General features: G+C 39.6%; 1 annotated feature.

Annotated features, from left to right (window-relative positions):
- Positions 10,507-11,194: an enhancer, noted in NCBI's record as "NANOG-H3K27ac hESC enhancer chr7:51937084-51937771 (GRCh37/hg19 assembly coordinates)". NCBI's record gives its function as "activates a minimal SCP1, AML or CMV promoter by ChIP-STARR-seq in primed H9 embryonic stem cells {active_cell/tissue: H9 hESC(primed)}" and the evidence as "EXISTENCE:reporter gene assay evidence [ECO:0000049][PMID:30033119]".

An 11,544-nucleotide genomic window follows, 5' to 3' on the forward strand; every position in this document is an offset into this window, starting at 1 on the left:
AAAACTGAGAACCTTAAACCCAGATTTCCTTGAACCTTTCATGAATCAGAATCAGCCCTTCCCAGAGGATAGAAGCCTGCCCTTATTTGGAAGCTCTGCAGATATATCAGTGAGAAAAGTGTCTGCAATATTAAATTCTACCAGAACAACCATGAAAAACAACTAACTTCTGCCAGAACAACTGTGAAAAAAATGCTACATTTAAGGGCATAAGATCCTAATTGCTTCAGACCAGGGGATTCATTTCATGGACAGGTAACCATGGAATGCACTTATTGGACAATATATCTTATCACTCAGAGGCTTCTGGCCCAAGATAATGATGGACTAGTCTGCCAAATTCTTACTCAAGGCACCAGAGAGATGGCAATTTAAGGTGGGTAGGAATTCTACACTCCAGTGGCCATTATGGCATGTGCTGCTGTGTACTCAACAAGTGGAATGTGCGTCTGGGAATCACAGGGTGGAAGTAGGATTGGTCTCTCTTAGCAAGATTCTTAGTAGCTCATTTGTAAAATTTGAATACCCATTTCCCAAAATTCAGACTGTAAAGGGGGAATTCATCCAAAAAAAAGTATCCAGGGAGAATTGCACTGACTTTGATGCTATTATTTGCTTAATTTGGGTTCCTGAGGCCAGTGAGCCAGCAAAGTTGGAAGTTACCATGTTAATGGGCATCATAGACTCCATTTACAGTAAGGATTTAGGACTGGTGCTAATGGTGTTACCCAATTGTGGCAGAGGGAATATATGTGGAATCCAGGGGTTCCTGAGTGCTTCCATGCCATGTTAACAATGTGTATAGAAAACTGCATCAACCACGGCCTGACAATTTTTACAAATTAATTACAGCCTCCAAACCCTGGAAGTAGATCTAGAAAGCAACCTACATCCACTGAAGTGCTGCCCAAGACTGAGGAATGGTGGTGGTAGAGGAAGATGATAGAGATCAATTGTGGCTCCTGAGACCCTCTGCAGATGCAACAGGACCTGTAACTTGTTCTCCTCATACTCTTGAGTTCAGCCCTTGCAGAGCTGGTGCCCGGCTGCCACCTTAGTCTAGAAGCAAACGCCCACTTTAGAGCCAGCTCCTTAATACTGACTGCTTTGGAATTAACATGAGAGGAAGCATGTTTGGGAGTGCCCTGTAGATTATTACCCATGGATTGAACCGAGCAGAGGAAGGACTGAACTGTAATGCAGCCCCAGCTAAGTCCTCAGCAGATCCCACAGGTGATTCTGGAGCTGGGATGGCCGTTCAGAGTTCTCTCAAATTTGGAAAAGAGGGTGGGTCACTGGGTGGACATGGACAGCCACTAGATTTGGGCTGCCCCTCAGGAGGGGGTGTGACATTGGATGAGGCATTTGCCTTCAGTGAGGGCAATGGCCAGAGAGGGTAAGAGCTGACAGTTGTCAGCCATCAACTCTCTTGGCTGCTGGAAAACTGTGTGCCTGAGTCCAAAAAATGGGATGGGTCAGTGCACCACAGCATTCACTAAGCATGAAACAGGGATCCCTGCAGAGCAATTGCTGGCTCCCAAAGAAGAAAAGCAAGAGTCAGTCCCAGTTCTTAATGCAACCAGCCTAGAAACAGAGCAACAACAGAGCCCAGAGGTGAAGAGCAGGGCCCTGGAGCGGAGCGCTTGAAGAGGCATTCCCAACCAGGCTGCTTACAACATGTGTGACCTTGTGCAACCTCCTTCAGACATCTGGGCCTCAGCTTTATTTTTTGATTGTTTGTTTAATCAGTAAAATGAGGGTTATGGCCATGCCAACCTCCAAGGATTATTATGAGGATAAAAAGTTAATATTTGTAAAGCATGTAAGATGATGTCATAGAGTAAACTCTACAGAAGGATTTGTTAATTAATAAAATGGGCCTATATATTAGCATTTATAGCCACCATTAGAAAACAAGCATAAACAGAAAAATTCACAAAAGAAGATATCTGCATACCAGAGGTTAGGAAATATTCGATAATGGAGGAAGGGGATTTTTTTTTCACATTAGGAAGAATTTATTGAATGCTAGAGAACATAGAAAAGCTATAATTACTGTTCTTGGTGAAGCCTTCCCAGAGTCTCTCTTAGGACACAGTGGGATTCATTTGAGAACAATGGAGTTAGTGAATCAATCCTGTGTTGGTCAAAGTGAAGAGCTTCTTTGAGTCATGGTCTGTTCCTGAAATGGTATTTCATTTTGTACTTTGAAAAAATCAGCTTTTTGAGCTGAACTTTCATATATATACATACTTTAAGTTCTGGGGTACATGTGCACAACATGCAGGTTTGTTACATATGTATACATGTGCCATGTTGGTGTGCTGCATCCATTAACTCATCATTTACATTAGGTATATCTCCTAATGCTATCCCTCCCCCTGTTCTCACTCATAGGTGGCAATTGAACAATGAGAACACTTGGACACAGGAAGAGGAACATCACACACCAGGATTTTTTTTTTTAAAGGAGAGATGTAGCTGAGCAAATAGTGGACAAATTAAACTGCTTCAGATCTACATGAGAAGTAGTGACTTATAATGTACATACAATTAAAACATCTTTTATCTTAAATATACATGTAAATATCCACAATTATAGCTCATATATATTAATTATAAGTGCAATGCATAATTATAATATATCCATAATATAATAAGTATGATAATATAAACAAAGAAAGTTTAGGGAAATATCCTTTTTCCCAAGAAGAAAGAACATTCATGTTCTAGTATATGCCAATAGCAATATAGACTGCAAGACAAGCTAGTTATACCTTATGCAACAGGATTCATGCCAAAAGAGAACACAAGAATATAAATTTCTAAAATAAAAAAATTAAATTTAAATATTTAAAACGCAAAGTTATTTGAAAATAATTTTAAAATGAAAACGGCTGCAAAGATTTTTAAAGACGCATTTAGAAAGCCTGCTGTGTCTTCAAACATTTTTCCTATTTGGTAGTGGAATAAAGATTTCAAGCACAAATTTACCCATGACTGTTTTGCTGAGCAAACTTAATGCCACATCCTTGTTCATTACTTTTTCAGGCTCCTACCCATTGCTTCTCTCCCTTTAATTTCCCACCATGCACACTGGCCCATTTGGTGAGAAGATCTATTCTGTGCTCACATGTACAAAGGTGATGTATTGGCAGCTTCAGCCTCCAAAGGTTTTTCTCATTACTGAATTCCCAGTAGCTATTTCTCTACATTGTAATTGGATAGTACTTTTTAGGAGCAAGTGTCCAGGGCATAGAGTGCCACAAACACTAGGTGCATTCTAGAGAAATGAGGAGATGATATCCATGAATAGCAGAGGATCATAGACAAATGCATTCCCCAAGGTGAGGGGAAACAATCAATAGCTGAAATGAGAAAAGCTGGCTTCAGTGGTGTGCTGATTGAGAAGAGAGCCTTCCCATTAAGCCAGAGTGACCTGTGACGCTCAATTAGTGAATGCAATCCATGCACCTTTTTCATTGCATAATTAAAGACCTATACCTGACCTCTCCATGTCTTCAAATCTGCAATCTTTACACACACACACACACACACACACACACACACACACAGAGATACTTGTTTCCCAATTATTAATACTCTTAATTATTCAACAATGATGCCTATTTAAACACCTAATGGATTATTTGATTTTAATAGTTAATAATACCATGTCAAATGATAAAGATCAATTATTTTTCAGAACAATATATTTTTAATTAGGCATTTTGAAAAGTATTATGTTTAGGAAACTGTACCCATGATAATGACTGAATTCTGTTAAAAATGACGTGCTGAATCAGTGGCTGATTCTCAGTAGAAGGATTGAAATGATCATGGTTTATGTTCATTGATTCACTGAACACATACTTAAAGGTGCTTGCGAGGTATCAGGCATGATTATGGTGAAAAGCGGGCAAAGGTAAATAGGTCTCTGCTCTCCAAAAGAAAGAGCAACGCTAAGCTGAGCATTACAGTGCTTGGGGAATGTCGCACACAGCAGGGAAAGCCCACCGGAGTCTACTCATGCTATCATACGTGCATGCCCAAATACACACATTGTGGTCTTCAAGATTATCATATTTACCCATAGGATATTCATTGCAGTTATGCCTAAAATAGAAAACAGACAGATGAGAACTGATGTTAAGCATTAAAAAATTCAGCCAAGAGTAATTTTCAGTAGAAAACCAAAGAGAATGTTGTGTTGTAAAAGAGCATACTATGATATAATTTCTGAGAATAGATTCCTGTTCTAGTTATCATAATTAGCATATATCTTATGCTATGTGCCTAAATGACACATTATTATCATTAATATAATAAATGATTATCTTTGTTAATTTGCCATAAGCAAAGTTTGGTTATAGGAATTAACAAAAATCTCCCATATTCCAAAAGTGTGCCCCATAATACTTACCTATAAAGAATATAGAAGTTTTTAGGTTCTATCAGATTATATAGAAATAAAATATTTGTAAGAAAATCACATAAAATTTTTAATTGTATCAAAAATCACATATACAATTTATCACTTTAATCATTTTTAACTCTACAGCGTAGGAGTTTTTGTTTTGTTTTGTTTTTGAGAAGGAGTCTTGCTCTCTTGCCTAGGCTGGAGTGCAGTGGCACGATCCCGACTCACCGCAACCTCTGCCTCCCAGGTTCAAGTGATTCTCCTGCCTCAGCCTCCTGAGTAGCTGGGACTACAGGCATGCACCATCAAACCTGGCTAATTTTTGTATTTTTAGTAGAGATGGGGTTTCACCATGTTGGCCAGGCTGGCCTTGAACTCCTGACCTCAGGTTATCCACCTGCCTTGGCCTCCCAAATTGCTGGGTTTACACACGTGAGCCACAGTGCCCAGCAGCATAGGAGTTTTAGGTATGTATACATCGTTGTGAAACAGATCTCCAGAACTTTTTCAACTCACAGAACTGAAACTCCATAATATATCCATTAAACAACAATTCTCCTTTGCCTACACTCCCTATCCACTGGTAACTACCACTCTACTTTTCATATCTATGAGTTTGGCTACTTTAGATACCTCTTATAATTGGGATCATATAGTATTTGTGCTTTTGTGCCTAGCATATTTCACTGAACATAATATCCTCGAGGTTCCTTCGTGTCATAGCAGGTGTCAGAATTTCCTTCCTTTGTAAGGCTGCATCGTGTTCTATTGTATATACATACCATATTTTGTTTATCCATTAGTCACATCACAAATAGTTTTAATTAATTTTAATATACTTTCATTTTTCCCCTAGTTTTTCAGAGTAATACTTGTTCATTTTAGGACATTTTAAAAAATAGAAAAATGAATAAATAATTATTTTCAAATTTTATAATTCTAGTATCCAATGCTAATCACTAAAATTTTATATATTTCCTTCATAATAGTATACATATATTTTCTTTGCTGTTGTTTTCTGCTTACTTATAATAATAATTTTCACATGTGAATGCATGATCTTACTAAAATTTATTTAACCATTCTTCTAGGACACCAAATAGAAAGCACTTGGTGTGACAGGAGAGAGAGAATGGAAGCTTACATTGAATGATCCAGTGGGGATATAAAGAAGTGAATAATATTTGAGAAATATAGTCTTTTTGTGAGCCTGAGTTTCGTCACTTTCTTCCAATAGTTTGCATACATTTTTAATGGTTTCCAGTTTTGAAATATTTTATTAAATTTTTAATAAGGCTTATTTTAAAGTAGAATTAAACCAGTTATTACTAGTGGGAAGAAAGTTTGCAGACTAGTTATATTTATCTTTTCTAGGGTTTTACTGATGGATATTAAAATTATAAAACAAATATGTATCTTTGATTGTCTAGAACTACAATCACCTTAATAATTAAGTCATCATCTGTATGTTACTGACTTTGCTACATATTTCAAAGCAATATTAAATAATGTTGACAATAAGTGTCCTTGTTTGTGGTTTGATTTCTCTTGACATTGCTCTGGTATTTTGTAAGAAATTGTCACCCTTGATGCTGCATGTTAAAGTCGTAATAATATTTAGAGGTAACTTTTCTTCTTTTGCAAATTAACATACTTATGAAGACATACAGAAAACACAAAGCTAGGAACTAATAGTAAGGTTTGATCAAATATCAGAATTTAGCTCCTTGAAAAACTGTCCACTTTTCCAAAAACAATTTACTTCATAAGACTCCTTTTCAGATCTTACCGGGCTGTGCCCACCAACCCTATACACTGTTTTGTTGTGAACTTTACCCAATCTCAGTATCCCATCTTGAAAGATCAGCATTTAAAACCACTTGAGCAAAGAGGCTAAAATGGTCTAATTATCCTTTCCTAGTCACATCACAGAAGATGACTTGAGTAGCCAAATCTGTGGTGAAGTAATTTTCTGCTTTCTTTATGAAGTAATTAAACATATATAACAATGGGAAGAGAACAGTAACATCTTTGAAGAAGGCTTCAAGAATATATTAGAGATCCTCCTAGGAAGATGTCTTAGGAAAACGGTTTTCTTTGGAAAATAATTTTGATCAGTCACTTTTAAAAAGATGATGAAACCCTGAGGTTTCACTAAACAAAAAAATCAAAAATACATAATGTTTACATATTATCTTTAACACAAATAGAAATAATATGTAAACATATGCAAGAGAACAGGGGAACAAATATTTTATTATTTGAAAGGCAATAAGGGGGAATAAGCAAGAGGAAATGAAAAAGAGAAGATGGTGGAAAACTAGAAAAATAAAGACAGAACAAGACCTGGTTAGATGGAGAGGATGTAAATTTCATGGAAAATAATGTCTGAGAAACATTTTACAAACAGCTAGTGTCTACACTTCCATTTAAATGTTTGCATGGATGAATGTAACCTAGCTTCCACCTTTCTTCTGAAACATTCCCTCAAAATTTACTCAAATCTATTTAGTTAAATAATTGGTGATTATTACCATTTTGGTACATTTGTATCTATTTTTCCCATGCTGTATTTACACAATTATACTTAGGGTATATCTGCATAGATCACTTTACATTCTTTCTCTCTCTCTCTCTGTGTTTGTATGTAGGTAAATAAATATATATATATATCTATATCATATATGAAGTCTCTGACAAGGCACTTTTTTTGCTGCATAGCCTTTATCTGATGAATTGCTTGGTGTAGACTGGTTGCTTTAGACTCTGGTTTGGTGTATTTTTTGTGAGGGCACTCGCTCTATGTCAGGGTTCCACAAAATGTTTCTTGTAAAGTGCCAGATAGTGAACATTTTGGGTTTTGTGGGTCACACAGTCTCTGTTTCAACTACTCAACGCTGCCTTTGTATTATGAAAGGAGCCACAGAAAATATGTAAACACATCAGTATGGCTGTATTCCAATAAAACTTTATTTACAAAACAGGCAGCAGGACGTGGCCCCTGAGCCGTAGTTTGCTGACCCCTAATTTAGCTCCACTTGCTTCTGCAATCTGGCCAATGAGGACACTCTAAAGCTTTGGGCTGCCCAACCTAACCACTTACCTTGCCCTAGGGCAAAAATCCATTTTATTTCCAGTTTTCCTACAGGCAAGTGCCCCAGGCTCCAGTTTTGCAGTTTTGAATGCTCTTCCATTGGGCAAGATGATGGGGCAAAAGGAAAGGGAGTGAGCAGGTTTGGGTCAGGCACGTGTGTTGCAGTAACACAAAGACAGTTGAAGGAGATGTCTGCTCCAAAGTTCAGGGGATGCCTGGAGCAGAGGACCAGTGAGAGTTGAGAGATGAAGCAGGAAGTTTGGACATCAATAGCTTTTGAGCTGAGCACCAAGCTGATGAGCTGGGGACAGGTATCACAGCATCCTTAAAGGGCAAGAAATGCAGAATAGTGAGAAACTAGGACAACTGATGTTGCCCCTGGCTGGCTTTTAGAGCTGCTGATGAGCAGAGCATGGGGTCAGAGTGCGTGCATTGTGCTGGATGCATTTAATGGGGCAAGACATTTAAAGCTTCTATGAAAAAGAAAAGGGGCCTAGTGGAAAGACTGGGGTAAAGAGGGGCAGATCAGGATTGATACTAGAAAGGGAGCTCTTCAAGGACTCACTTTGTGAGAGAAACTGAGGTTCATCCTCAGGTCATTGAGGCTCCAGGAAGATCCACCCTGCTATTCCCCAGGTGGGGCAGGATGCTCCAAGTCACTAAGATCTCCTGCCACGTTCACTGTAAGTACCCACATTTCCACATCTCTATCAGAGGCATGGTGCAAATTCTTTATGCAGTAAACTCCTTATGTAAATCAGTGGATAGGGGGAGGGGGAGCGTGTGGCCTTCCACTGCCCACCACAGCTACCTGAGCCCCCATCTGGTATATCTAAGGTGCTCCCTCACCTGGAGACTCATGGGACTTCCTGTAGCTGCAGTGGCTTAGAGGTGGCCTCCTTCAGCCACCACCCCCATGGAATGTGGGGCTGTGGCGGACCTGTGAACTCCCCTAGACTAGTTCCTTAGGGGCAGGGCCTGGAATTAGCATGGCTTCACATTCTTCTGTGCTTTCTGCTCTAAGGATGCTTGGCTCCAGAGGAAGTAACCTGGACTAGATCTGTGCTCTCCTTTCAAACCATTGTGAAGCTGTATTGCTTCCATTCCAAATCTTGATGGTTCATCTTTAAAGGTGGAAACTTCTGCCATTTTCTAAGGTTCATCCTTGTGAACAGTTTCACTTTGAGTAAATTCTCATAATATCTGGATGACTTCAAAAAGCTTTGAAAGAGTTGCCAAGGCACGACCACACTGATGTTTTCTAAGTGCTTTAATTCACTTTCTCGGTTTATTCTAGAAATGCTATACACAGCATTGTACGTAGTAAGGTGCAGATTGGTGCAAAGTTCACCTAATTTGATCCAAAGCAATATCAGAGGAAAGTCCTAGTTAACTTCACTTTCTAGATTATGTCACCTTGATCTCAGATCCTAATGTTGCACATCCAGCAATCCTTCTTAGGGCCAGGCTTGAAATATTTTGGCCCCTCCATGGAAATATTCATGTCACCAAGGCCCTGATTTCTGCAGAATAGATATCTGATACTCATCCAAACACTATCCTAACACTATCAGAAAGAAAAAAAAAACTCAAAAATACACACACACACACACATACACACACATGCACACACCCATGCACTCTTATCTTCTGTACATCTTTTGTAGTATTGGGTGGGAAAGTGAAGTAATAGTTCTACAGCTTGCAGTAGAAATCTTTTAGAATTATGCCTGTGACTCTAAGTTGAAAATCTGATTGGAAAAGATCCTCATGGGGGTGCATTCAAGCCTGTCAGTCTGCAGACCAATCATTGCTCATCTAGCCTCCTGGACATGTTGTCTTCTCCTGTGGAACTCCTCTTCAGGGTAGTAACAGGTGTCAGGCCTCCGAGCCCAAGCTAAGCCATCATATCCCTTGTGACCTGCACATATACATCCAGATGGCCTGAAGCAAGTGAAGAATCACAAAAGAAGTGAAAATGGCCGGTTCCTGACTTAATTGATGACATTACCTTGTGAAATTCCTTCTCCTGGCTCAGAAGTTCCCCCACTGAGCACCTTGTTACCCCCACCCTTGCCCACCAGAGAACAACCTCCTTTCACTGTAATTTTCCACTACCTACCCAAATCCTATAAAAGGGCCCCAGCCCTATCTCCCTTTGCTGACTGTGTTTTTGGACTCAGCCCACCTGCACCCAGGTGAAATAAACAGCCTTGTTGCTCACACAAAGCCTGTTTGGTGGTCTCTTCACACAGATGCGTGTGACAACAGGGACTTCCATGGTACATGGACCTGGCATCTGAAATGTGAGTTGATTTATTATCCTGGATAAATAAACTAAAAATAAGAAAATATTTTGAAGCTGATAAAAGTTGAAGGAGAACGCCATCACTTTACAGCTAAAAAAGGTAAAGATACTTTCATTCTTTTTGTTTTCAGAGACCTGGGGCTGAGGAACAGAAAACAAACACATTTTTATAATCTAACACTGAAAGAAAGAACATAGAGGGAGATATTTGCTTTTGGAGCCCATTTTTCAAAAATTTTTGTTTTTCCCCATCCTAGAAAAGAAAGTCTCTGATAAAGAAAAGCTAAAAGTTCCTTGGCTACAATGACATATTGGTTATTAAACTGAATATCATCAATATTTAATTATCTCTGTAAACACAAGAAGAGAAAATGCAAAACTATCAGTTCATTTATTTGGGTAGTTTTACTTTTTGCCAAAACAATTCACAAAAGTTATATTTAGGGTTTATTAAGAATGGACAACATTTGCTAAGATTCTGAGGCTTAGAAAAGCATCTTATTCATCATCTATATTTTATAAGTGAGAAAATTGCCTCTCAGGGAGGGAAAGAGAGTGGCTCAAGGTCACTCGGGATTTTAATGACGATCAGAACTGGAACCATTTTCTCTCTATTTTGCATCTTGGGGCCCTCTCTTAGGCTGGAAGTCCATAGAGGCTTATTTCATATTTTCAGTCGAGTACCTAACAGCTCTTAATTCCTGCTAGATAATCTAAATTATGACTACAAGCATAGATTTTTTTTTTTTTTTTGAAGAACATATGGGAATCAGGGCAAAGCACTGTTAGTTCATCTATTCCTTAGGTTAGTATTTACTGAGTGCCTTCTCTGGGCCAGGCAGAGAGCAGGGAATGTGGAGCACAAGGTAGGAAGGATATTTATGCTGTCTTAAGAAAGCTTACAGTCTAAGAATATGCAGGAAATGGGCAGTGCAAGTGAACAAGACGCAAACAGTGATTAGTATTGTACTCAGAAGGGCATTGTCAGAGGCCACTAAAGGGAGGAAGAAAGAGGCTGTTGCCAACAGGACTAGGGCGAGTTTCAGGGGAGAAACCACACGTGTCCGTGAAGGAATCTTCCTTTGGCAACTTCTGGAGTTGGCACTGAGTTTTTCTTCCGTGGGCCTCTGCAGCAACGCTTATCTCTGTCAGGCCTCTGAGCCCAAGCCAAGCCATCGCATCCCCTGTGACCTGCACCTTTACGCCCAGATGGCCTGAAGTAACTAAAGAATCACAAAAGAAGTGAATATGCCCTGCCCCACCTTAACTGATGACATTCCACCACAGAAGAAGTGTAAATGGCCGGTCCTTGCCTTAACTGATGACATTACCTTGTGAAAGTCCTTTTCCTGGCTCATCCTGGCTCAAAAAGCACCCCCCACTGAGCACCTTGCAACCCCCACTCCTGCCCACTGAGCACCTTGTGACCCCCACTCCTACCCGCCAGAGAACAAATCCCCTTTGACTGTAATTTTCCTTTACCTACCCAAATCCTATAAAACGGCCCCACACTTATCGCCCTTCGCTGACTCTTTTCAGACTCAGCCCGCCTGCACTCAGGTGAAATAAACAGCCATGTTGCCCACACAAAGCCTGTTTGGTGGTCTCTTCACAGGGACACGCATGAAATTTGGTGCCGTGACTCGGATCAGGGGACCTCCCTTGGGAGATCAATCCCCTGTCCTCCTGCTCTTTGCTCCTTGAGAAAGATCCACCTACGAC

This window comes from Homo sapiens, chromosome 7 (genome assembly GCF_000001405.40).
Source record: "Homo sapiens chromosome 7, GRCh38.p14 Primary Assembly".
NCBI classification, from domain to species: Eukaryota; Metazoa; Chordata; class Mammalia; order Primates; family Hominidae; genus Homo; species Homo sapiens.